The sequence below is a fragment of the Homo sapiens genome, chromosome 11 (genome assembly GCF_000001405.40).
Source record: "Homo sapiens chromosome 11, GRCh38.p14 Primary Assembly".
NCBI classification, from domain to species: Eukaryota; Metazoa; Chordata; class Mammalia; order Primates; family Hominidae; genus Homo; species Homo sapiens.
In genome coordinates, this window is record NC_000011.10 from 65,095,581 (window position 1) to 65,119,620 (window position 24,040).

General features: G+C 54.3%; 3 protein-coding genes across 6 annotated transcripts, besides 15 other annotated features; 2 read left to right on the plus strand and 1 right to left on the minus strand.

Annotated features, from left to right (window-relative positions):
* Positions 439–1,233: an enhancer, noted in NCBI's record as "H3K27ac-H3K4me1 hESC enhancer chr11:64863491-64864285 (GRCh37/hg19 assembly coordinates)". NCBI's record gives its function as "activates a minimal SCP1, AML or CMV promoter by ChIP-STARR-seq in primed H9 embryonic stem cells {active_cell/tissue: H9 hESC(primed)}" and the evidence as "EXISTENCE:reporter gene assay evidence [ECO:0000049][PMID:30033119]".
* VPS51 (VPS51 subunit of GARP complex) lies at positions 634–16,282 on the plus strand. 2 transcript variants are annotated; one of them, NR_073519.2, is made up of 10 exons: positions 634–898; positions 1,418–1,547; positions 12,001–12,147; positions 12,223–12,444; positions 12,617–13,334; positions 13,700–13,915; positions 14,125–14,343; positions 14,902–15,023; positions 15,114–15,201; positions 15,747–16,282. NR_073519.2 is itself a non-coding variant. In NM_013265.4 (10 exons), exons 1-10 carry the CDS (start codon positions 671–673, stop codon positions 16,005–16,007), a joined length of 2,349 nt encoding a protein of 782 aa, NP_037397.2. In that variant the 5' UTR covers positions 634–670; the 3' UTR covers positions 16,008–16,282. The 2 variants fall into 2 exon arrangements, 1 of the variants encoding a protein (NP_037397.2); NM_013265.4 differs by having other exon boundaries at positions 12,223–12,442.
* Positions 673–942: a silencer, noted in NCBI's record as "silent region_3508". NCBI's record gives its function as "represses an Ori minimal core promoter by ATAC-STARR-seq in GM12878 lymphoblastoid cells {active_cell/tissue: GM12878}" and the evidence as "EXISTENCE:reporter gene assay evidence [ECO:0000049][PMID:35858748]".
* Positions 6,657–6,951: a silencer, noted in NCBI's record as "tiled region #6888; HepG2 Repressive non-DNase unmatched - State 15:Elon". NCBI's record gives its function as "represses a minimal TATA promoter and a strong SV40 promoter by Sharpr-MPRA in HepG2 cells {active_cell/tissue: HepG2}" and the evidence as "EXISTENCE:reporter gene assay evidence [ECO:0000049][PMID:27701403]".
* Positions 14,547–15,474: an enhancer, noted in NCBI's record as "H3K27ac-H3K4me1 hESC enhancer chr11:64877599-64878526 (GRCh37/hg19 assembly coordinates)". NCBI's record gives its function as "activates a minimal SCP1, AML or CMV promoter by ChIP-STARR-seq in primed H9 embryonic stem cells {active_cell/tissue: H9 hESC(primed)}" and the evidence as "EXISTENCE:reporter gene assay evidence [ECO:0000049][PMID:30033119]".
* Positions 15,233–15,408: a silencer, noted in NCBI's record as "fragment chr11:64878285-64878460 (GRCh37/hg19 assembly coordinates)". NCBI's record gives its function as "represses an EF-1alpha promoter that drives an FKBP-Casp9 reporter gene in an ReSE screen in HepG2 liver carcinoma cells {active_cell/tissue: HepG2}" and the evidence as "EXISTENCE:reporter gene assay evidence [ECO:0000049][PMID:32094911]".
* Positions 15,475–16,400: an enhancer, noted in NCBI's record as "H3K27ac-H3K4me1 hESC enhancer chr11:64878527-64879452 (GRCh37/hg19 assembly coordinates)". NCBI's record gives its function as "activates a minimal SCP1, AML or CMV promoter by ChIP-STARR-seq in primed H9 embryonic stem cells {active_cell/tissue: H9 hESC(primed)}" and the evidence as "EXISTENCE:reporter gene assay evidence [ECO:0000049][PMID:30033119]".
* Positions 15,475–16,423: a biological region, named in NCBI's record as "H3K27ac-H3K4me1 hESC enhancer GRCh37_chr11:64878527-64879452".
* Positions 16,097–16,391: an enhancer, noted in NCBI's record as "tiled region #11972; HepG2 Activating DNase unmatched - State 1:Tss". NCBI's record gives its function as "activates a minimal TATA promoter and a strong SV40 promoter by Sharpr-MPRA in HepG2 cells {active_cell/tissue: HepG2}" and the evidence as "EXISTENCE:reporter gene assay evidence [ECO:0000049][PMID:27701403]".
* TM7SF2 (transmembrane 7 superfamily member 2) lies at positions 16,292–20,650 on the plus strand. 3 transcript variants are annotated; one of them, NM_003273.6, is made up of 10 exons: positions 16,292–16,487; positions 16,935–17,131; positions 17,231–17,285; positions 17,640–17,834; positions 17,911–18,014; positions 19,133–19,252; positions 19,333–19,501; positions 19,734–19,814; positions 19,896–20,018; positions 20,313–20,650. In NM_003273.6, the coding sequence occupies exons 1-10, from the start codon at positions 16,436–16,438 to the stop codon at positions 20,471–20,473; spliced, it is 1,257 nt and encodes a 418-aa protein (NP_003264.2). In that variant the 5' UTR covers positions 16,292–16,435; the 3' UTR covers positions 20,474–20,650. The 3 variants fall into 3 exon arrangements, 2 of the variants coding, with proteins under 2 accessions (NP_003264.2, NP_001264162.1); NR_102367.2 differs by lacking the exon at positions 17,231–17,285; NM_001277233.2 differs by lacking the exon at positions 19,734–19,814.
* Positions 16,314–16,423: an enhancer, noted in NCBI's record as "active region_4941". NCBI's record gives its function as "activates an Ori minimal core promoter by ATAC-STARR-seq in GM12878 lymphoblastoid cells {active_cell/tissue: GM12878}" and the evidence as "EXISTENCE:reporter gene assay evidence [ECO:0000049][PMID:35858748]".
* Positions 16,494–16,543: an enhancer, noted in NCBI's record as "active region_4942". NCBI's record gives its function as "activates an Ori minimal core promoter by ATAC-STARR-seq in GM12878 lymphoblastoid cells {active_cell/tissue: GM12878}" and the evidence as "EXISTENCE:reporter gene assay evidence [ECO:0000049][PMID:35858748]".
* Positions 16,674–17,103: a silencer, noted in NCBI's record as "silent region_3509". NCBI's record gives its function as "represses an Ori minimal core promoter by ATAC-STARR-seq in GM12878 lymphoblastoid cells {active_cell/tissue: GM12878}" and the evidence as "EXISTENCE:reporter gene assay evidence [ECO:0000049][PMID:35858748]".
* Positions 19,904–20,449: an enhancer, noted in NCBI's record as "H3K27ac-H3K4me1 hESC enhancer chr11:64882956-64883501 (GRCh37/hg19 assembly coordinates)". NCBI's record gives its function as "activates a minimal SCP1, AML or CMV promoter by ChIP-STARR-seq in primed H9 embryonic stem cells {active_cell/tissue: H9 hESC(primed)}" and the evidence as "EXISTENCE:reporter gene assay evidence [ECO:0000049][PMID:30033119]".
* Positions 20,450–20,994: an enhancer, noted in NCBI's record as "H3K27ac-H3K4me1 hESC enhancer chr11:64883502-64884046 (GRCh37/hg19 assembly coordinates)". NCBI's record gives its function as "activates a minimal SCP1, AML or CMV promoter by ChIP-STARR-seq in primed H9 embryonic stem cells {active_cell/tissue: H9 hESC(primed)}" and the evidence as "EXISTENCE:reporter gene assay evidence [ECO:0000049][PMID:30033119]".
* ZNHIT2 (zinc finger HIT-type containing 2) lies at positions 20,823–22,121 on the minus strand. The gene has a single exon (NM_014205.4). It carries the CDS (start codon positions 22,071–22,073, stop codon positions 20,862–20,864), a length of 1,212 nt encoding a protein of 403 aa, NP_055020.1. The 5' UTR covers positions 22,074–22,121; the 3' UTR covers positions 20,823–20,861.
* Positions 21,541–22,084: an enhancer, noted in NCBI's record as "H3K27ac-H3K4me1 hESC enhancer chr11:64884593-64885136 (GRCh37/hg19 assembly coordinates)". NCBI's record gives its function as "activates a minimal SCP1, AML or CMV promoter by ChIP-STARR-seq in naive H9 embryonic stem cells {active_cell/tissue: H9 hESC(naive)}" and the evidence as "EXISTENCE:reporter gene assay evidence [ECO:0000049][PMID:30033119]".
* Positions 22,077–22,371: an enhancer, noted in NCBI's record as "tiled region #3974; HepG2 Activating DNase unmatched - State 1:Tss, and K562 Activating DNase matched - State 1:Tss". NCBI's record gives its function as "activates a minimal TATA promoter and a strong SV40 promoter by Sharpr-MPRA in HepG2 and K562 cells {active_cell/tissue: HepG2 | K562}" and the evidence as "EXISTENCE:reporter gene assay evidence [ECO:0000049][PMID:27701403]".

The window sequence follows — 24,040 nt, forward strand, 5'->3', positions numbered from 1 at the left end:
CATTTTGCCCAGGCTGGTCTCGAACTCCTGGGCTCAAGCGATCCACCCGCCTCGACCTCCCCAGTGCTGGGATTACGGGAGTGCCCGGCGCAGCTCAGCGCAGAGACTTACAATGCGCCACAGATAGTCCTGAAGGCAATTCTGATGCACGTCAGAGGACCAGGCCCTAAGAAGAACTGCGCTAGAGGCGTGGTACAGAATAGTGTACATGCATTTAATCCTCGTAGCCCCCCTGTGAAGTATGTACCCCAATTTTAGGAATGGGATAAACTGAGCCACTGCCAGTGGCAGGATCCCAGGAACACTCTACTCTGGCCTCACGTCCCGCATCCGTCCATTGCATCTGGGCACATATTCCGTGGGCCCCTTGCCTGCGAGAGTGCAGGTTGGGGAGCCACTACCCGTCCCCCTTCTGGGACAGCAGCAACCCCAGGCAGTTCCACAAAATGCTTCCACCCAGGAAACTGGGGGAATTCAGGGCTCTCCCGGAACCTTTGCACCCGGGGAAGACAGGTGCGGGGGAACTCTAGTCTCGAAGGACCTAGGGCTGCAGGGGGACGTTTCACCTGAAGGACTGCCTCGTTTCAACAACAACTTTATGGCTCCCGGAAGTGCCTCCTCCCCGTCCCCTTCCTTTCCAGCCTCACGCCCGTGGGCTGCAGTTGGAACGATGGCGGCGGCAGCTGCCGCCGGGCCTAGCCCGGGGTCTGGACCTGGGGACTCCCCAGAAGGGCCCGAGGGGGAGGCTCCGGAGCGTCGGCGGAAGGCGCACGGGATGCTGAAGCTTTACTACGGCCTCTCGGAAGGGGAGGCGGCGGGACGCCCCGCGGGGCCCGACCCCCTGGACCCGACTGATCTGAACGGGGCGCACTTCGACCCGGAAGTTTACCTAGACAAGGTGTGTGCGCACGGGGAGTGGGGGGGTGCGGGGAGGGGGGAAGGGAACCAGGCCCCTGCTATATTGCTCCCCCAGATCATGCCTCCGACTTTTTGTGAGGTTCAGGAGAGCAGGTGTTCATAAGAGGACGAACCTCGGCCAGGGAGTACGAGCAGCTGAGGCGTCTGAGGGGATGTGAGTAGGACTGGACTGGCCTGAGGTGATGCGGCATCTGAGGTCTTCTGGGCTGATGTGATAGGCCCGGAATTGGGGGCGTGGCCCAAGCGTTGACAGGCGCGGGGCTGGGCTTAGGCCGAGCCCCAGGATTTCAAATGCTGACAAACACCAAACACGGTTGAACCTAGTAACCCCTGAGCTAGGCCACTTAGGGCCCCCTGCCTGGGATTCCTGACAGCCGGCGGGGGTTTGCGGGGTGGGTGGGGATCAGAGATTTCTTGCCCTGAAAGCCTATCAGCTGCAGGCAAGGCTGGGGGACATGAATGCCTCCTGACCCGAACACTAACCACCCAACTTCTTCAGCTGCGTAGAGAGTGCCCTCTGGCCCAGTTGATGGACAGTGAGACGGACATGGTGCGGCAGATCCGGGCTCTAGACAGCGACATGCAGACCCTGGTCTATGAGAACTACAACAAGTTCATCTCAGCCACAGGTGATCCCCACGGGGACACACCCTCCAAAGTCTCACAGCCCCCATTCTCCCACCTGTGTTGGGAAAACCAGCAAGGGATTTAGAGGGGGGAGACTCAGATTCCAGTCTTGTCCTGACATTATTCCATTCTCACCTCCTTTCCTTTGAGCCTTCGTTGTCAGACTACTATAGAGATAATAGCTACTCTCAGAGGGTTGTCTTAAGTACCAAAGGAGAGAAAAGACAAAAGGAGATTAGTTGTTTATTTTTTAGAGACAATGTCTTGTTCTGTCTCCCAGGCTGGAGGGCAGTAGCATGATCATGGCTCACTGCAGCCTCGACATCCCAGGCTCATGTGATCCTTCTGGATCCTACCAAAGCACTGGGATTACGGGTGTGAGTCCCTGGCCCAGCCCAAAATGAAATTTTAAAATGAAATGTATTTATCTGAAGCACTTAAAAGGCCAGGCATGGTGGCTCATGCCTGTAATCCCAGCACTTTGGGAGGCTGAAGTGGGAGGATCACTTGAGCCTAAGAGTTTAAGATTGACCTGGGAAATATAGTGGGACTCCATCTCTACAAAAAAATAAAAAATAAAAATTAGCTGGACAAGATGGCGTATGCCTGTAGTCCCAGCTACTCAGGAGACTGAGGAGGGAGGATCACATGAGCCTGGGAGGTCGAGGCTGCAGTGAGCTGTGCTTGTACCACTTCACTTCAACTTGGGCAACAGAGCAAGACCCTGTCTCAAAAAAAAGAAAGTATCTATCTGAAGAAGCATCCCAGACACTAGGCTGGGCACAGTGGCTCATGCCTGTAATCCCAGCACTTTGGGAGGCCGAGGCAGGTGGATCACCTGAGGTCAGGAGTTCGAGACCAGCCTGGCCAATATGGTGAAACCCCATCTCTACTAAAAATAAAAAAATTAGCTGGGTGTGGTGGCAGGCACCTGTAATCCCAGCTACTCAGGAGGCTGAGTGGGAGAATCACTTGAACCTGGGAGGTGGAGGCTGCGGTGAGCCAAGATCACGTCACTGCACTCCAGCCTAGGCAGCAGAGCAAGACTCTGTCTGAAAAAAAAAATAATAAGAAGAAGAATCCCTGACATCAAGGAAACCTCAGTAAGGTGTAGTTTCTCTTATTATTGATAGCTTTCTTTTCTGCTCCAGGGAAGAATAGGTGGTCTTGTCCCTCCCTTTCTTTCTCCCTTCCTTCCCTCCTTAACTAAGCAAAGAGAGAAGATGTATGATATTAGGGGACACAAAGATCATGTCGAGGCTTTTTTTTTCTTCTGTCCTCTTTATTCTCTAGTGCCAGACAGTGTTCCACTGTTTTCCACACTAGCTTCTGTGCTGTTTTGAGGAGATGTACTACTCAGACTTTTGTAGTAATTGTACACCCACGTGTAGTAAGTCCAGGAGCCAGATCCAAAGGGTTTACCTGCAGCCTGTGGAATGTTCTGGGAGCATCTGTGGGGTTGCATTCTGATGTCTTACTCTCGTGTCACAGTGGTGGGTGTGGTAACCTATACACATTGTTCTTTTATCTGATTTGAAGCAGATTCCATGAGTAGGCACCTTTCTGTTAGCTAATACCAGCATCAAAATGGCAAGAAATCATAGTTTCTGTGCTGGGATATTTCTCACAGGAATTTAATAAGATTACATTTTCCATTTGTTGGAATGTGTATAATAATATTTTGAGACTTAGCTCTTTTTGTACATCCCACAAAAGGAACAAACGTTTGGAAAAGTGTGAGGATAACCAGGAGCATTGATGTCTTAGAAGCTTAAGTGAGGGGCCGGGCATGGGGTTCTCACCCGTGATCCCAGCACTTTGGGAGGCTGAGGTGGGTGGATCACTTGAGGCTAGGAGTTCAAGACCAGCCTGGCCAACATGGTGAAACCCTGTCTCTACTAAAAATACAAAAATTAGCTGGGCAAGGTGGTGCATGCCTGTAGTCCAAGCTACTCATGAGGCTGAGGCAGGAGAATTGCTTGAACCCAGGAGGTGGAGGTTGCGTGAGGAAGGTGTTTCAAGACATAGATTTGATAGACTTGGGCGAGACACTCAGGAAAGTAATGTAGCATGGAGTGTGTGTTGATTGGGCAAGAGAGAGAGAAAAATGAGAAAGGAACTAGGTCCTCAGGAAGGAGGGGGGTGGAACAGAGCAGGGATGGAGGCATCGGCCTCAGCAAAGGGCCGGGAGCTCATCTATGGTAGCAGGAGGGGAAGCAGAATGTGGGCAGAGCCAGGCAGATAGTAGATGTGCAGTTTAACTAGAAACCTTCCAGAATGTATTAGGGATTTGGCTTTTATCCACAGAGAGCTAAAACAAATGAGTGATGTGCTCAGATTTCTGGTTTGAATAGATTCCTCCAGCTGCACTGGCAGGAATGGATGGGGCTGAGCACAGTGGCTCATGCCTGTAATCCCTGCACTTTGGAAGGCTGAGGTGGGAGGATCACTTGAGCCCAGGAGTTTGAGACCAGCCTGTGCAACATAGTGAGACCCGATATCTAGAAAAAAAAAAATAGCTGGGTATGGTGGCACACACTTGTTAGAATAAACCCAGCTACTTGGGGAGGCTAAGGTGGGTGGATCACATGAGCCCAGGAGCTGGAGATTGCAGTGAGCTATAATCTCACCATTGCACTCTAGCCTGGGTGACAGAGCAAGACCTAGTCTCAAAAAATAAATAAATAAATAAAAAGGCCAGGTGCGGTGGCTTATGCCTATAATCTTAGCACTCTGAGAGGCCGAGACGGGTGGATCATCTGAGGTCAGGCATTTGAGACCAGGCTGGCCAATATGGTGAAACCCCATCTCTACTAAAAATACAAAAATTAGTCAGGCATGGTGGCAGGCATCTGTAGTCCCAGCTACTCAGGAGGCTGAGGCAGGAGAATCGCTTGAACCCAGGAGGCGGAGGTTGCAGTGAGTCGAGATCGCGCCACTGCACTCCAGCCTGGGCAACAGAGCGAGACTCCGTCTCAAAAATAATAATAATAATAAATAATAATAAAAGGACAGCCCACAGAATGGGAGAAAATATTTGCAAGTTAGTTATCTAATAAAAATCTAGTGTTCAGAACATAAAAAGAACGTTTTTTAGCTCAGGGCTAAAAAGACAAATAACCCTAATTTAAAATGGGCAAAGGATTTGAATAGACACTTCTCCAGAGAAAACATACAAGTGGCCGAAAAGCACATATAAATATGCTCAGCATCATTAGGTCTTAGGGAAATGCAAATCCAAACCACAAAATGCTGCACCCAGTGTGGAAGACAGTTTGACCATTCTTCAAAACCACACACAAGATTACCATATGATCGGCAATTTTACTCCTAGGAATATACCAAAGAGAATTGAAAACATGTTCACATAAAAACATGTACACAAGTGTTCATAGCAGTGTTTTTTTTTTTTTTTTTTTTTTTGAGATGGAGTCTAGCTCTGTCACCCAGGCTAGAGTGCAGTGGTGCCATCTTGGCTCACTGTAACCTCCGCCTCCCCAGTTCAAGCGATTCTCCTGCCTCAGCCTCCTGAGTAGCTGGGATTATAGGTGTGCACCATCACACCCGCCTAATTTTTTTATTTTTATTTTTTGTATATTTACTAGAGACGGGATTCCACCTTGTTGGCCAGGCTGGTCTTGAACTCCTGACCTCAAGTGATCCGCTTGCCTCGGCTTCCCAAAGTACTGGGATTACAGGCAAGAGCCACCATGCCTGGCCAATAGCAGCACTTTTTATAATAGCCACAAGGTGGAAGCAATCCAAATGGCCATCAATTGAATGAATATAAACAAATATCCACACAGTGGAATATTATTCAGCCATAAAAATAGATATAACATACTGACACAGGCTACAACATAGATTAACCTTGGAAACATGCTAATGTTTCATATGCCTATGATTCCATTTCTGTTAAATGTATTCTGTAGCGAATAGACAAATCCATAGAGACAGAAACTAGATTAATGGTTGCCAAGTTCTAGGAGTGGGGGAATAAGGAATGACTGCCAAGGGTTACAGGGTTTCTTTAGGGGATGATGAAATGTTCTGGAATTACGTAGTGAGGTTGGTTGTACAACCTTGTGAATATATTAAACATATTAAAAACCACTGAATTGGTATGTCAATTATATCCCAATTAAAAAGAAAACCAGGCATTGAGCCAGATTTGGCCTGCAGGCTGTAGTTTGCCAACCTCTCACCTAGACATTGAGTTTCATTATGTAATAATGCATTTACTTGTGTCAAAATTAGAAAGATCTCAAACATTATACAGGGAAAAGCCTCTCCTAATTCTTTTCTCTAGGCAAAGACAAAGCAGTCTTTGACAGTACATTTCACTGAAAATTAACAGAGCCCAGGTGGGATTATGGCTCATACCTATAATCCCAACACTTTGTGAGGCAGAGGCAGGCAGATTGCTTGAGCTCAGGAGTTCGAGACCATCCTGGCCAACAGGTTATACCTGTCTCTACAAAAAATACAAAAATTAGCTGGGTGTGGTGTTGTGTCCCTGTAGTCCGAGCTGCTCAGGAAGCTGAGGTGGAAGGCTTGTACCTGGGAGGCAGAGGTTGCAGTAAGCCAAGATTGTGTCACTGCACTCCAGCCTGGGTGACAGAGCCAGACCTTGTCTCAAAAAAAAAAAAAAAAAAAAAAAAAAAAAGAAAATTAACAGACATACAGAAAAGTGCACATAAGTGGACAGCTCCATGGATTTCACAAAGGGAGCACAGTCACATAATCAGCATCCAGGTCGGGAAACAGCATAACCAGCAAAGCCCCCTGAGCCTCCTACCAGTTACCACCCAGTCCCCTCCCAAGGTAGCCAACATCCTCGCATCCAGATGGCTTTCACTCTCCCTGGTTACAAACTGCTTTTCTTAACAAGCTTTTTTTTTTTTTTTTTTTTGAGACAGAGTCTTGCTCTGTCATCCAGGCTAGAGTGCAGTGGCCCAATCGGCTCACTGCAACCTCCGCCTCCGGGGTTCAAGTGATTCTCCTGTCTTAGGCTTCCAAGTACCTGGGATTACAGGCACCTGCCACCACACTTGGCTAATTATTGTATTTTCAGTAGAGACGGGATTTCACCATGTTGGTCAGGCAGGTGACCTCAGGTGATCCACCTGCCTTGGCCTCCCAAAGTGCTGGGGTTACAGGCGTGAGCCACTGTGCCCAGCCTGCTTTTCTTAACAAGCTTGAAATGCAAAGATAAACAGTGTAGTCTTTGTGACTGAATGGTGTGGATGCTTTCACTGTTGTTTTTGGATATGGTACAACTTTTATCTCCAGTGTAATGGCTCCATGGCTGGGAAGGCAGCGACAATGACAGCACACAGCACTGTTGGGTTTTCTTTTACTCTATTTTCCTAACAACTTAGTGTTTGGATTTTACCCTTTAGAAGTTGGATTCAAGCTTCCTTCTTGAGGTAGCCCCTAAGTGTCATGGGCTCAAACACCCACTACCAAAAGAGTCTGCTCTTTTCATGGTAGCTTTTGGCAGACCTGGAAGGAGATTGTGTCACATGGCCTGTAAACAAAACCAGTAATTCACTGGGTGAAGACCAAATGCCTCATCAACTGCCAAGCCTCTGTCTGTCTCCCTTAGATCAGTAGCCCATGATCCCTTTACGAACCTCAGCCTCGGCTCTGCTTTTATTGTTTTTCACTGCATAGCGCTGCCTTTGCTATGTCCTTTAGTTCACCATCTATGAATTGGCAAGAAAAATTTTCTTGCCAGGCACAGTGGCTCACTCCTGTGCTCCCAGCACTTTGGGAGGCTGAAGTGGGAGCATTGCTTGAGCCCAGAAGTTTGAGACCAGCCTGGGCAACATAGAGAGACCCCATCTCTACACAAAATTTAAACAAAAATTAAAAAATTAGCCGGGTGTGATGGCGCTTGTGTGTAGTCCCAGCTACTTCAGAAGCTAAGGTAGGAGGATCACTTGAGCCCCAGAGTTCAAGGCTGCAGTAAGCTGTGTTTGCACCACTGCATGCCATCTTGGCTCACTGTAACCTCCGCCTCCCCAGTTAAGGTGATTCTCCTGCCTTAGCCTCCTGAGTAGCTGGGATTATAAGTGTGCATCACCATGCCTGTAGACAGAGCAAGACCCTATCTCAAGCAAAGAAACTCAAAATAATTATGATTTCCCCAACAAAATGCAGGCAATGGTCCCTATGGTCCCAAAAGTAATATAGATGTTTCACATCATGTGATTTTATTCCTTAGTAACCTTCCTTTCTATGAAATCATCTCTAAGAGGGCTAAATGATCCTTTCTTGTGGACTGTGTTGTTAAAATGAAAAGTCCATTTTGCTGATACGTAATCTACCTTTCCATGTAATTTTTTAAAAAATCCCTTAATAGCTCTACAGATGTGAGCCCTGTAGATTCTTTGTCTCAGACAGTTCTTTCTCTTATATTTTCTCTAATATTTTTTTCCTGCATTTTTTGTTTCTGTTTGTTTCTTGTCAAATTGACATCAATGCTTTTCTCCTTACTCACCCTTCCAGCTGTCTCCCCAAGTGGGGTAGATTCCCAGTGTTGCTTGGAGAACATTCCTACAGTCCCAGAGCCACACACAGACCAGGTGTGGGTGTGTGAAGGCTCACAAGTGATTGCAGTTAGATATTTCCAGATTCTTCTTTGTAAATGCTGATCAGTTTGCATAACCACCAGCAAAGAAGAGAATACCTCTTTCAATCTTTGACAATCTGAGAAGTGAAAAGTGGTATCTCTTATTGTTTATAGTAACGTTTACAGGGTGTTTTTTTTTGTTTTTTTTTTTTAGGGCTTTCTATTTATTCAATTATTATTATTTGAGACAGAGTGTTGCTCTATTACTCAGGTTAGAGTGCAGTGGCACAATCTCAGCTCACTACAACTTGTGCCTCCAGGGTTCAAGCGATTCTCCTGCCTCAGCCTTCCCAGTAGCTAGGATTACAGGCACCTGCCACCACGCCCAACTACTTTTTGTATTTTTACTAGAGACAGGGTTTTACCATGTTGGCCAGGCTGGTCTCAAACTCCTGACGTCAAGTGATCTGCCTGCCTCGGCCTCCCAAAGTGCTGGGATTACAGGCATGAGCTACCGTGGCTGGCCTATTTATTTGATTATATCATCTGCAAATAGTGATACTTCTCCCTCCTTTCCAATTTGTGTATCTCCATAATACATCTCGTGACTCTAGCTGAGTTGGCTAATGCCCCAGAACAATGTAGATAACATTGGCAATCAAGGTTGTCCTTGCCATGTTTTGACTTTAATTGGAGTGCTTCTAGCACTGCCTCGGTAAACATGATACTGAGTTTTGGAGGTCAGGGAAATATTTAGCTGCTCATATGTTATTGAGAGTTTTTTAAAAATCAAGAATAGATGTTGAAATATCTATTAACATGGCAAATTATTATGAGATCCTCTAATTTTGAGTCATCCTGGCATTCATGAAACAAAAACCCTTTTGTGTTTATCAATTATTATTTTAATATGCTGCTGGATTTTGTTTGCTTATTTGTGCATCTCCATTTGTTTATTTAATTCATCCTTGCATCTCCATTCATAAGAGATATGAATGTGTATATGTGAGGTATTTCTGTTATGTTTTCATAACAGTGTTATGTTTGTTCCATCAAGTTTGTGTGAGAGCTGTTCTCGTTTCTCTGCTGGGGCAGTGTTTACACAGAGAATTGGAAGGCGCTGTCCTTCAAGCCGCCGCAACACCCCTGGACATCTGGGCCAGATGCCTTTGTGTGGAGGGGAAAGGGGAGTAGGACCTTTCTTTCACAACATTCTCTAGTTTTTCTGTTTCTGTTTTCTTGTTTTTTGCAATCCATTTTGGTAAATCCTATTTTTGTAGCAAATTATCCATTTCATCCATAGAATTCACCAAGCCCTTACCAATTTAGTGTTTTCTTGGTATTTTACCCATGCTGCAATTTCAGTTTTGATTTCCTTTTCTGACCTCATAATTGGTTAACAATGAGGTTTTTTCGACTGGGCACGGTGGCTCCCGCCTGTAATCCCAGCACTTTGGGAGGCCGAGGCGGGTGGATCACTTGAGGTCAGAGACCAGTCTGGCCAACATGGTGAAACCCTCTCTACTAAAAGTACAAAAATTAGCCAGGCATGGTGGCACGTGCCTGTAATCCCAGCTACTCGGGGCTGAGGCAGGAGAATCGCTTGAACCCAGGAGGTGGAGGTTGCAGTGAGCTGAGATCGCGCCACTGCACTGCAGCCTGGGCGACGGAGGGAGACCCTGTCTCAAAAAAAAAAAAAGAATGAGGTTTTTTTCTTTGTGATCTACCATATGGAAAGGTTTGTATATATTTTATGGCATTGTTTGGGAAAAATGCAAACTGTGTGCTTCCTATGCTCTCACATCACCACAATCATGACCACAGAAGAGTTCTGTGACCAAATGTGTTGGGTTTCTTCCCCACACACCAAGCAGCAGACACCCGCTGGGTGTCCTCTGATTTAATTCCAACACTATTTACCCAGAGATAGCATCAGATTCCATGAGTTGAGGGCTGAGTCCCCAAGCCTGCCTCCCTTCAGGCACTAGTTCAGTCCCAAATCTGCCTCCCCACTTTCAGGCACTAGCTGCAGGTCAGGGCCTCAGGCCTCCAGAATTTCTGACCAACTGGCTCCAGGTAGGGGTTTCCATAACTCCCTCTTTGGGCTCAGTTTGCTGGAGTGGCTCACAGAGCTCAGGATAACACATTTACCAGTTTATTACAAAGGATGTTACAAAGGGTACAGATGAGCAGGTGCATAGGGCGAGGTGTAGGAGAAGGAGCATGGAGTTTCCATGCCCTCCCCGGGCGTGCCACCCTCCAGGAGCCTCCAGAGCTGAGATCGCGCCACTGCACTCCAGCCTGGGTGACAGAGTGAGACTCTTTCTCAAACAAAACAAAACCAAAATATCTCCTGTTACAGATACACATTTCTGTCTTATCCTCTTCGCCTTTCTTTATGAACATTGTTGGTATGTTCAATGGAATTAGGGAAATTAGTTGGGAAATGTTGGCAGTTGTTGGACAAGAGATGATAGTGGCTTACAAAGAAAATGTTGCAGGTAGACCTTCCATGACTTGGTAATGGATTGATTACTAGGTATATTAATCCAGGTTCATACTGCTGTAAAGAACTGCCCGAGACTAGGTAACTTATAAAGGAAAGAGGTTTAATTGACTCACAGTTCACAGCATGGCTGGGGAGGCCTCAGGAAACTTACAATCATGGCAGAAGGTGAAAGAGAAGCAAGGCATCTTCTTCACAAGGCAGCAGGAAGGAGAAGTGTTAAGCGAAGCAGGGAGAGCCCCTTATAAAACCATCAGACCTCGTCGGGTGCGGTGGCTCATGCCTGTAATCCCAGCACTTTGGGAGGCCAAGGTGGGCGGATCATGAGGTCAGGAGATCAAGACCATCCTGGCTAACATGGTGAAACTCCATCTCTACTAAAAATACAAAAAATTAGCTGGGTGTGGTGGCAGGCACCTGTAGTCCCAGCTACTTGGGAGGCTGAGGCAGGAGAATGGTGTGAACCTGGGAATTGGAGTTTGCAGTGAGCAGAGGTCGTGCCACTGCACTCCAGTCTGGGCGACAGAGCGAGACTCAGTCTCAAAAAAAAAAAAAAAGAATAGGTGGAATTGAATTGAGGCCGTCAGTGAACAGTCAGGAACATTGGAAGGCTCATCCATGTGGATGTGCACAAGGAGGTGACAGGAGGAGGAGAAGAGGCAGTGATGGGGAACTGAGAGGAGTGTCAGAGGACAGTAGAGACAGCAAAGAGGAGGGTTGTGGCTTGATGGCATGGTCTTCCTAGAAGCCGGGGTTTTGAAGAGAGGAGATCTAGGCATGATTTAGAAGCATGAAGGGACCAGGCTCCCAGGCACCTGGTGTGTGAAAGGAAAAACAGCCTCCCTAGGCAGGATTCTATCAGGACCAAAGGGAAAGGGCCCTTCAGAGAAGACAGCCCATGTTCCGGAAAGCATGTGAAAGGCTTTGGGAGGTCTGGAAAGGAGATGAGGGTCAACAAGAATGTATTGCCTCATCCAGGCAGTGCGCTGGACACGCAGATGCGCTTGGGAGCCAGCGGTCCCTGCCTTGGCTGCTTGTGGTCTGATGGAGCAGTTGAGGCACAGTGGTGGCAGCTGGCTAAGCACCTGCGGCCTGCTTCGGATCTGGACTAATTCTGAGGGCCGGCTCTCCTGGGCACCAGGGTTAGGGGGTTACGGGGAGTATGTGAGTAACGCCTGCTTTGGGAACATAAACCCCCTCCCCCGCCCCCATGTGCGCTGTGACCCACGCCCTCGCAGTCCTTTCTCTGGAATCATCCATGCGCCCCTGGAGCAAGCTGGGGCGTCTGTGAAGGGGTGGGTGAGAAGGAGCTGAGGTTGCGCCCGCCCTGCAGTCACCTGCTCTCCCCTTTTCCCCGCCCCTGCCCTCCTAGACACCATCCGGAAGATGAAGAACGATTTCCGGAAGATGGAGGATGAGATGGACCGGCTGGCCACCAACATGGCAGTGATCACCGACTTCAGCGCTCGCATCAGCGCCACGCTGCAGGACCGCCACGAGCGCATCACCAAGCTGGCAGGTGGGCGCTGCCGGGCAGGGCCTGCAGTGGGCCTTTCCTGGGGCTCTGGGGCTAACGTCACCCTCCGTCCCCCAGGGGTCCACGCGCTGCTGCGGAAGCTGCAGTTCCTCTTTGAGCTGCCCTCGCGCCTCACCAAGTGCGTGGAACTGGGCGCCTATGGGCAGGCGGTGCGCTACCAGGGCCGCGCGCAGGCCGTGCTGCAGCAGTACCAACACCTGCCCTCGTTCCGCGCCATCCAGGACGACTGCCAGGTCATCACGGCCCGCCTGGCCCAGCAGCTGCGGCAGCGCTTTAGGTGTGGCCCCTCTGCCCTGACCCCAGCGCTCCCGCCAGCCCCGAGCCCCATCTGTGCCCGGCTCCTGGGCCCTCCTGGAGCTGTCCCCCTGCCCTGTGTGTGCTTTGCTTTCCTGCTCCTGCCCCATCCACCGGCAGCCCCGGCCCTGCCCTTCACTACCTCTCCCTCGTGCAGGGAGGGCGGCTCAGGCGCCCCGGAGCAGGCAGAGTGCGTGGAGCTGCTGCTGGCCCTGGGCGAGCCTGCGGAGGAGCTGTGCGAGGAGTTCCTGGCGCACGCCCGCGGCCGGCTGGAGAAGGAGCTGAGAAACCTGGAGGCCGAGCTGGGGCCCTCACCTCCGGCTCCCGACGTGTTAGAGTTCACCGACCATGGAGGCAGTGGCTTCGTGGGCGGCCTCTGCCAGGTGGCGGCGGCCTACCAGGAGCTGTTTGCGGCCCAGGGCCCAGCAGGTGCCGAGAAGCTGGCGGCCTTCGCCCGGCAGCTGGGCAGCCGCTATTTTGCGCTGGTGGAGCGGCGGCTGGCGCAGGAGCAGGGTGGTGGTGACAACTCACTGCTGGTGCGGGCGCTGGACCGCTTCCACCGGCGCTTGCGGGCTCCCGGGGCCCTGCTGGCCGCTGCCGGGCTCGCAGACGCTGCCACGGAGATCGTGGAACGAGTGGCCCGCGAGCGCCTGGGCCACCACCTGCAGGGTCTCCGGGCGGCCTTCCTGGGCTGCCTGACAGACGTCCGCCAGGCGCTGGCAGCACCTCGCGTGGCTGGGAAGGAGGGCCCTGGCCTGGCCGAGTTGCTGGCCAATGTGGCCAGCTCCATCCTGAGCCACATTAAGGCCTCTCTGGCAGCAGTGCACCTTTTCACCGCCAAAGAGGTGTCCTTCTCCAACAAGCCCTACTTCCGGGTACGCCTCCTCTTGGGTGTTCCTTGTTCAACCTGCTGGTTGACCCTCCAAAACCTTTTATGCCAGTGCTTGGGAAACTGGGGAAACCAGGCACTCTGGGTGTGGTTTCAGGTTCTTATGCACGGTCTGGGGGGTGGGGAAGGCTCAGGGCATCTGCAGCTGGGCTGAGAAGCAGGGCATGGTGGGGTCCCCAGTGTTGGCTTTCTCTGCCCCCACTCAGGGAAGCTGCTCCGGGGTACTTAGAATGTAGGATGATGCTGTCCCTTGCAGAGGGGGCTGGGGCACTTAGAGCCCCAGCAGAGGGTCATTAACAGCCTTACCTGGAAGAGGGGACCTGCTGTGGACCTGGGCACCTTCTCTTGCAGGGTGAGTTCTGCAGTCAGGGTGTCCGTGAGGGCCTCATCGTGGGCTTCGTCCACTCTATGTGCCAGACGGCTCAGAGCTTCTGCGACAGCCCTGGGGAGAAGGGGGGTGCCACACCACCTGCCCTGCTCCTGCTGCTCTCCCGCCTCTGCCTGGACTACGAGACGGCCACCATCTCCTACATCCTCACTCTCACTGATGAACAGTTTCTGGTGCAGGTGAAGCACTAGCTCCTAGCCGGGCAGGGAATGGTGTTGCTGGGAATGCAGATGGCTGGACAGTGCCCTCATGGCCAGACCCCAGACCAGCTGCCTGTGTGTACCCCAGCCTCCACCTTGCCCAATCTGTGCCCAGCTCCTGGTTGGCAGTGGCCCCTGAGCTGCCCCCACCATACCCACTCCCTCTGTCCTCTGCCTCCTTGGCTCAGGATCAGTTCCCAGTGACGCCCGTGAGCACGCTGTGTGCAGAGGCCAGGGAAACGGCGCGGCGGCTGCTGACCCACTACGTGAAGGTGCAGGGCCTGGTCATATCACAGATGCTGCGCAAGAGCGTGGAGACTCGCGACTGGCTCAGCACTCTGGAGCCCCGGAATGTGCGGGCCGTCATGAAGCGGGTGGTGGAGGATACCACCGCCATCGACGTGCAGGTGCTGCCCAGGCTGGCCGGGGTAGCCCTGACGCAGGCTGGGGGTACTGTCCCTTCAAGAGGGGCTGGGGCAGCAGAGGATCACTGGCAGTCCCTGCCTGGAGGAGGGGACATGTGTATCTGGGCTTCTCACGGGGCCAGTTCTGTAGCCAGGGCGTCCGTGAGGGAACCCCAGGGGAACAAGTCTCCAAGGATGAAGACCAAACGGGCTGGGGAGTGCCTATGTCCACGGTCTTGTTCCTTCTCAGCCCAGGATTATGACATCTTCGCCCCTATTTTACCTGTGGAGAAGCAGAGGCTCAGGGTTACCCAGGAAGTCAGGGCAGGGTTGGTGCTGGTGCTGAAGATTAGACCTCAGACCAACTCTTGTATCCTGCCTTTGCCCCACTCCACTGGTTCTATAAATAGCGACCATGTACCTACTAAATAGCGGGCCCCGCGGTGATTACCCTGTGATCCTTGTGATGCTTGAGTAGCTGACTTAGGGCATCCTCAGCACCGATGGGCTGGTGGTTTCCCCTGACTCGGGCCTCCTTGCAGTACCTCTTTTTACCACCAGGTGGGGCTCCTGTACGAAGAGGGTGTTCGCAAGGCCCAGAGCAGCGACTCCAGCAAGAGGACTTTCTCCGTGTACAGCAGCTCTCGGCAGCAGGGCCGCTACGCCCCCAGCTATACCCCCAGGTCTGGCTGGTCAGGGGAGCCCCAGGGGGAAGGGACAAAAGAGGGCGAGGGTGCAGGGCGGGCTCTGATTCCTTGTCTTCCCCAATCCAGTGCCCCGATGGACACCAACCTCTTGAGCAATATCCAGAAGCTATTCTCTGAACGTATTGATGTGTTCAGCCCTGTGGAGTTCAACAAGGTCCGACTTCCAACGTGACTCAGACTTCCAGGGATCCCGGGGAGGGTTGGCTGGAGCAGCCCCACACCTGCCCAAGGAGCCCCAGGACTCTGTGACCAACTGGGGGTGACCCTGACCCTCCAGTCTCTGTCTCTAGGGCTGTTTTTAGGTAGTACAGAGTGCCCTGCCTCCAAATCCCACAGCCCTTGTCCCAGTCTTGGTGTATGCCCAGCCTGAGTCTGGGTGCTGACCTGGGATTACTGTTTGCCCTTGTCCTTATCCCCACAGTAGTCTTGGGTCCTCCCCAGGGTTTTCTGTTCACCCATGGTCCCTGCCCCGCCTCACTCCAAGCTCAGGGATGCCTCTGATTGCTGGGCCCTACCTGTCCCCTGCCCTCCAGATGACGGCGCTAATATTGTATCCCTCCCTTCTTATCTGGCCCCGGAGACTTTCTGCCTCATCCCAGCTACTTCCATCGTATGTCTCCCGGGCCCCTGCTTGGAACTTGGGTGTCCCCCACACACACCTGCAGTCCCCAAGCTGCATCCCTGTGTCCCTGCCTGCAGGTGTCGGTGCTGACCGGCATCATCAAGATCAGCCTGAAGACGCTGCTGGAGTGTGTGCGGCTGCGCACCTTTGGGCGCTTCGGGCTGCAGCAGGTGCAAGTGGACTGCCACTTTCTGCAGCTCTACCTGTGGCGTTTTGTGGCCGACGAAGAACTCGTGCACTTGCTGCTGGACGAAGTGGTGGCCTCTGCTGCCCTGCGCTGCCCAGACCCTGTGCCCATGGAGCCCAGTGTGGTTGAGGTCATCTGCGAGCGCGGCTAGGCGCAGCCGCTGCCATGCACCGGTCTGTCCCTGCACCCCATGGCACCCAGGATCTGGTCTCGGTGGTCCTTCCCCGCAGGCAGGTGTCAGGACCGGCCTAATAAACATGTGTGGCCTCCTCCTCTCGCTTGCTGGGCGGGCCTTTCCGGGGGCGGGGTTTTGAAGCTGAGGCTTCTGAGGCGCCCGCGTCGGGTCCGCCCCCGAGCGCCGATTGGCTGGTGTGCTGGGCCCAGCATGGGCAGGGGGCGGTTCCACTTAAAAACCCTGGGACGAGAGCGGTCCTTGTCTGCGTTCCGTGTCCAGGCAGGTGCAGGCGCCGCGGGGCCGGATCCTCCGCGCGGCCGAGTCCATCTCCTGGGAAATGGGGCGGACAGTGTTTCCTTGACTGACTATTGTGAGCGCCCTCTCTCTCCGGCGGAGCGGAGACCATGGCCCCCACTCAGGGCCCCCGGGCCCCGCTGGAATTCGGAGGGCCCCTGGGTAATGGGGCAGAGAGATGGGACCTGGGGCAAAGGCTAAGCGAAGGAGAGCTGGAGCGGGTGAACTAAGAGCGGGGGCGAGATCTGAGGATGGAAGGCTTTGGGGGTGTCGGAGGCAGAGGGACCCGGGGGTTTGCAGCGAAGGGTGTCTGGAGAGGGAGAGCTGAGGAGGGGCCGGTTCTGGGGGCTGCAGAACGGGGATTTATGGTGTCGACTGGGAGCAGGAGGAGGGTCTTCGAGGGGCCTGGGGGCGGGGGACTAAGATGGACGCCTGGGAAGGGAACTGGGAGGCAGCGGGGTGCCTGGGGGCCGAGGGCTGAGGACGGGGTGCGGAGGCGCACTCTGGGAATGCCGAGAGGGTCCCGCAGAGACGTCAGGGCGCCCGTGCGGGCCGGCGGGGAGCTGGGGGGCTAGGGGCGGACGCCCGACGTGATGGCCCTTCCCGCAGGCGCCGCGGCTCTGCTACTGCTGCTGCCCGCCACCATGTTCCACCTGCTCCTGGCGGCCCGTTCGGGCCCCGCGCGCCTGCTGGGTCCACCCGCGTCCCTGCCGGGGCTGGAGGTGCTGTGGAGCCCACGGGCGCTGCTGCTGTGGCTCGCCTGGCTCGGCCTGCAGGCGGCGCTCTACCTACTGCCGGCGCGCAAGGTGCGGGCCCCGCTCGCGGACGCTCGGGGGAGGGAAGCGAATGGGCTCGGCGAGGGAAAGGACGCCCCGGGCCTTATCAGAGCCCCCTTGGACCCGCAGGTGGCCGAGGGGCAGGAATTGAAGGACAAGAGTCGCCTGCGCTATCCTATTAACGGTGCCTAGGGGACGGGCCCTCGCGCTGGAGTTAAGCGGCCGGGGGTGGAGCTCCAGGCCTAGCGGGGAGGTCCACGGAGATTGGCCCCCACCCCAGGCTCCTTTGTGTGCCTCTGTTACGCCCAGGACAGACGCCGGGGGCTCTCCCTATGCCCCTCGTCCCCACAGCCTTACCCCATTTACTGCTACTCCGTGCACCACAGCAGTGGCTGGGGTGATCCTCTGAAGGCCAGGGTGGCAGCCTAATGCTTGGGGCAGGGTCTGTGGCCCCCCTGAGTTTTGGGCTCTGCGTGTGTTTGCGGGGTGGGGATGTGGAGGCGCGCAGCCCCAGGGCTCACTGTGCGCTGTGGTTCAGGCTTCCAGGCCCTGGTGCTGACAGCCCTGTTGGTGGGGCTGGGGATGTCAGCGGGGCTGCCTCTGGGGGCGCTCCCGGAAATGCTCCTGCCCTTGGCGTTTGTCGCCACCCTCACCGCTTTCATCTTCAGCCTCTTTCTCTACATGAAGGCGCAGGTAGCCCCAGTTTCGGCCCTGGCACCTGGGGGGAACTCAGGTGAGAGGGGTCCTGGGGTGGAGACGGAGGCAGATTGGGGCGTCTGCCTGTACATTCACTCTCCAATATTCTCCAGGCAATCCGATTTACGACTTTTTTCTGGGACGAGAGCTCAACCCTCGTATCTGTTTCTTCGACTTCAAATATTTCTGTGAACTGCGACCCGGCCTCATCGGCTGGGTATGTTGGGCTTGACTGAGCTGGCCTCAGGCCAGGGGGAGGGTTAGGGTGGGTGAGCAGCGCTTGGGCAGGGCAGGGCCAAAACTGTGCAGATGCGAGTCATTAACCATTCATATTCCACAAACATTTGTTCAATCCACCTGTGCCTAGGTACTGGGAGACAAAAATAAAGTTAGAGGCAAAAAAGCATCTTTGCTGCAGAGAGCCTACATTCTGGTGGGAAAGACAGAAAAAAATAAGTAAAATATATACAGCATGTCAGGGATGACGTTAGGAGAGCACGTGCAATTCTCAACAGCAGTCAAGCACAGAATCTATTTCCAGGGAGTGACCGCATGCTGCTTGATGGTCAAGGCAGTGCAGAACCTGAAATTGATCGCTGGGGTTAGCAACCTACCCGTCACTAGTGGCCTTGACAACATTCCAACTGTGATCTCTGGTTCTGTGGCCAAGATTACCCAAAGAAACTCTTGGGCAAGGCCTCTCCTGTTGCCCTGGAAATTATCTTACCCGAGGCAGGAGTGCCAGGTGCCCACCCTGGGTCTGGGTCCTGGCCTGATGACAGGCACATCTGAGGACACTTCCTCATCTTTGAGATGTGATAAAATTAAAGCTTTCTCCTAAGATTACTGGGAAGATTAGAAGAGGTAATCTTTATGATAGAACAGAGCTCAGTGTCAAATGCAGGCGCCCAGCACAGGCTTGCTCCGGCTAGCCACACTGAGCACGTACCACTTGCCAGGGACGCTATGGAGGGCTTCAAACACGATGATGCCATTGAGTCATGACAGGCCCATGATTATCCCCATTTTTCACACAGGGGTGGGGGAAAGTAGGCTGTGGAGAGGGCAAGCAACCTGCCCAAGTGATGATGCTGAGATCTGAAAACAGGTCTGTTTGAGCACTGAAGCCTTAGCCCGAAAGGGCTTAGGACAGACAAGGCAAGAAGAAACAGGCTGCGGGCACCTCCCTGTCCACAGTCTCTGTCCTTGGGTCTAGGGCCTGGATCCACTTAAGAGCTGGAGTGTAACTGACAGTTGAGAAGGGCAGAGGCTGGCCACTGCTCTGCCCAAGGCTGCCACTTCTGTGGAGACTATTGCCTTGTTCCCTCTCCCCAGGTCCTCATCAACCTGGCCCTGTTGATGAAGGAGGCAGAGCTTCGAGGCAGTCCCTCACTGGCCATGTGGCTGGTCAATGGCTTCCAGTTGCTCTACGTGGGTGATGCCCTCTGGCACGAGGTGAGGCTGGACTGGACGAGGGTGGGTGTCTGAGGGCCGCATAGGGACTAAGCCAGTGTGTCTGGGTCTTGTCCCTGCAGGAGGCCGTCCTCACCACCATGGATATCACACATGACGGGTTTGGCTTCATGCTGGCGTTTGGGGACATGGCCTGGGTGCCCTTCACCTACAGCCTGCAGGCCCAGTTCCTGCTGCACCACCCGCAGCCCCTGGGGTTGCCCATGGCCTCTGTCATCTGCCTCATCAATGGTCAGTCAGGAAGGGGCAGCAGGCTGGGCCCATCTTCCCCCTATCCCTTTGATTCATGCTCTGTTTACACGCACCACCACATAGGTGCTAACCCCCAGGGTTCTCTAAAGCCAGGGCAGGGTCCTGGGGGTCCAGGCAGAGTCTGGGCTGCAGACAAGTTGGGCAGATGTTCGGGGTCAGGCAGGAGGCTGCAACCCTTGACCTTGACCACCGGTTCACACTCTCTCACCAGCTACTGGTTACTACATCTTCCGTGGGGCGAATTCCCAGAAAAACACTTTCCGAAAGAATCCTTCTGACCCCAGAGTGGCTGGTGAGCTGGTTCTCTAGGGCCATGGGTGAGGTGGGGCAGCTGGGCTTCCTGGGAACTCTCCACCCTGCTGTCTTTCCCCAGGGCTTGAGACCATCTCTACAGCCACAGGGCGGAAACTGCTGGTGTCTGGGTGGTGGGGTATGGTCCGCCATCCCAACTATCTTGGAGACCTCATCATGGCTCTGGCTTGGTCCTTGCCCTGCGGTGAGTGGCCCATGTGGATATGGGTAGGGACATGTGAGGGGAAGAGGTGGCTCAGCGACCACAGGATGCCTACTTTGGGTATGCACCAGTGAGAGTAGTCAGAGAGCTGGGGGTGGACCCAGTGTGTGGCTGGGGCACACCTCTGTGCCAACCTAGTACCGTGTGCTTTGCTGCAGACCCTGGCGCTTTTGCTGCTGAGCCCCGATGCCCACATGAGCCATGAGGTGTGGAAACGTTTGTGAACTGCGGGGTGGAGGGGCCGGCAGGGTGGTCACAGAGCCTCCTTCTCTACAGGGGTGTCACACCTGCTGCCCTACTTCTACCTCCTCTACTTCACCGCGCTGCTGGTGCACCGTGAGGCCCGGGATGAGCGGCAGTGCCTGCAGAAGTACGGCCTGGCCTGGCAGGAGTACTGCCGGCGTGTGCCTTACCGCATCATGCCCTACATCTACTGAAGCGGCTCCACCACCCCAGGTGGGGGCATGTGCCCACTCATCCACCAGCACACCCAGGACCAGGAGCCTCGACACACTTGGGACTCAAGGGCTTGCACCCCACCCAGCCCTGAGGATGAACAACCTCAGAGAAGAGGTGGTTTAGAGCAAGGAAAAAAATGAAACCAGTGACCAAAATCGGAGATGCTCTTCCTCCTTTGGATAAACACTGGGAACCCTTGGTGCACTTCTCTCCCCTAGGACTGGCTGGGTCAGCACTGATCAGGGAGAAGCTGAGCAGTGGCTTGTGGGCCCAGGAATCTGGGGTCTGGTGGGACAATAGCTATCCCTCAGAAACAAGCAACAGGGCTGACCAGTCACAGCTTTATTAATGACCAGGGTAACCCGTTCAGCTAGGGAGCTCCTCAATGAGAGTTCTTGGGGCAGGTGGCACGGGGCCTCCCCAAAGCCGCTCCAGCTCCCCAGTGAGGGCGGCCACCTCCTCGGCTACCACAGCATGGGCTTGGTGAGCCCTGGCGCAGTCTAGGGCCAGGGGTGTGAGGGCCGCCTCATTTTCGTTGGTCCAGGCCAGGAGGAACTGGCACTTTTTCCGGGCCCGGTAAAGATGATCTCGCTCTTCTCTAGCCACGGCCTGTTTCCGGGCACGGCCCAGGGTCTGTGCCAGGTCCCCCAGTGCTGCCAGCGTGTAGCCTTTCTGGTTGGTCGGGCCCTCGCCCAGCAGGATGCGGGCGACCTCGTGCATAGCCCCTCGTGTGCCCAGGGGCCCCGGCGGGTGCTCGCCTGCTTCCAGCACGTGGGCTGCCGCCTGCAGGGCTTCTTCCGCAGAGGCGAAGACTTGCTGGGCACCCAGGGCTCCGGAAACGCCGAGCAGTGTGGCACAGAAGTCAGAGAGCAGCGCGTCGTCACCGCCGTGATACAGGGCGAGAGTATGCGCGTAGGCGAACAGCACATTGGGCAGCTGGAAGCGCACGAGCGGCGAGACTGGGCCGCGGCTCAGGCTGACTATCGCGGGGATGCGGGTGGGTACGACGGGCGTGCAGGCCCCCGGGACATCTCCAAGAACCCGCTCGGCGGCCGCGGGCTCCGCGGCGGAGGCATCTTTCACAGAATCCGGCGGGGTCCTCGCAGGGGCGAGCTCCAGCTCCGCGGCGTCACTACCCGGGGCATTATCCAGCTCCTCCAGAAGCTGCGGTCCGGCTCCGCGGTTCCACCACCACGGCCGCCATGGAGGCAGCAGCCGCCCGGCCTCACCGCGGCTCAGCAGCCGCTCGAAGGCAGCTTTTTCGCCCGGCGCCAGCCGCTCCCAGAGTCCCGATAGGCCGCCGGGCGCCGGGCCGGAGCTGAGGCCTGCTTCCCCAGGCTCGTCCTCGGTCTCGCGTTGCTGACGCAGCCGGCGTAGGGCGCTTGCTAGGCGGCTGGGAGGAGCGCTGCAACCGCGGAGCTCTCCCAGCACCTGGTCACGGTAGAAGTTTTCTGCGCAGGTGCCATGCGTCCGGTAGCAGCGCAGCGAGCAGTAGGGCGCATTACAGCGAGGGCAGGTGTAACGCGCTGGCTGGACCTCCCCCGCCGGGCAGAAGCCACAGGGCCCGGCCGGCTCCATGGCAACTGGCACCGCGATCTACCTGCGAACGCACGCCGGTGGTAGTTCGAAACTTCCGGGGCTTCTTCGATTACTTCCGGTTCGCAGCGCGGCCGACGGCGCGCTGTGTTTTCGCAAAGCTTCCGAGGATTCTCGGCAATTTCCGCCCACGCCCGAAAGCCAAGCCCCACCCCTTTCCCTAGTAGGGCGAGAGCAGGCCCAGAAGCCGGGCGTCAGGTACGAGCCCCGCCCTATGCGATGACGCAAGGAGCGAAAAAATGGGTCTGGCGAGCGCTTCGCCGGTGCCACGTCTCCCCCTAGTGGTCACACCAAAACGTGGCCCGATCATCTAAAGAGAAAACCCTCTTTTTAGCACTACAATGTGCTGTGGCATAAATCCATCTTTACTAGGCACCTACTCTGGGCCACTAATTGTGCCAAGCCTACGGGAGGCGATGCATCCCTGCGCTGGACACAGACAAATAAAATGCACTAGGGGACACAGACAAATAAAAGGACAGTTAGGGCCAGGTACGGTGGGTCACGCCGGTAATCCCAGCATTTTGGGAGGCCGAGGCGGGCAGATGACCTGAGGTCAGGAGTTTGAGACCAGCCTGACCAACATGGAGAAACCCCGTCTCTACTAAGAATACAAAATTAGCCGGGCGTGGGGGACGGGTGCTTGTAGTCCCAGCTACTCCTGAGGCTGAGGCAGGGGAATCGCTTGAACCCGGGAGGTGGAGGCTGCAGTTAGCCGAGATCGCGCCACCGCTCTCCAGCCTGCGAGCCTGGGCCACAGAGAGAAACTCCACCTCAAAAAGATAAATAGAAAGCAGCATTTAAGAAATATCTGAGCTCCTATGATTTTTTTCCTCCAAAACTGCCTCTTCTTTTCATTAAGTATCTTCTCATTAAATACCACTATTCATCCATCTTATTAAGTGCAGGCCCCATTCTAGGTGCCAAGAACACAATGCACATCAAAGGGAGCCGGGGGTCCCTGTTCTAATAGAGCTCACTCTTGTGGTGGAGTGGGGGGTGTGATGAACCAAACTGTGAGTGTTCTTTGCATCCCTGCTACTACTGGTGGTCTAAGCTTCCTGACCCCTCATGTGGATGACAACACATTAAGTGTTTTTCCTAACTTTCTTGCCAGCCCTCCAGAAAAACCTGCCAGAGAAATTAGATCACAAGTCAGATGAGATCCATCTGTTACTCAAAACCCTTCTGCGACCCTCCATTGCACTTGGACTCAAACCCAAACTCCTCTCTATGGCTGACAAGGCCTTGCAGGATCTGCCCGCCCCCAGCCCTAGACATCACCTCTTCCCCATCTTCACACAGTCCTCTAGGCTTGAAATATTCCCCTACCTGATCACTTGACTGGTTCATCTCAGGTCTCACTCACGTCATTTAAACAGGACCTCTCGGCTGGGCACAGCGGCTGACACCTGTAATCTCAGCACTTTGGGAGGCCAAGGTGGGCGGATCACTTGAGCCCAGTTCAAGACCAGCCTGGGCAACATAGCAAAACCCTGTCTCTACAAAAAAGTACAAAAAATTAGCCAGGTGTGGCGGTGCATGCCTGTAGTCCTCAGCTACTTTGGAGGCTGAGTAGGATCACCTGGGCCCAGGAGTTGGCGGCTGCAGTGAGCCATGATTGTGCAACTGCACTCCAGCCTGGATGAGAGAGACCTTGTCTCAAAAACAAAAAAGAAAAGGCCGGGCACTGTGGCTCATGGCTGTAATCCCAGTACTTTGGGAGGCCGAGGTGGGCGATCACGAGGTCAAGAGATCGAGACCATCCTGGCCAACATGGGGAAACCCCATGTCTACTAAAAATACAAAAATTAGCTGGGCGTGGTGGCACATGCCTGTAGTCCCAGCTACTCAGGGGGCTGAGGCAGGAGAATGGCGTGAACCCGGGAGGCTGAGGTTGCAGTGAGCTCGGATTGTGCCACTGCACTCCAGCCTGGCGACAGTGCGAG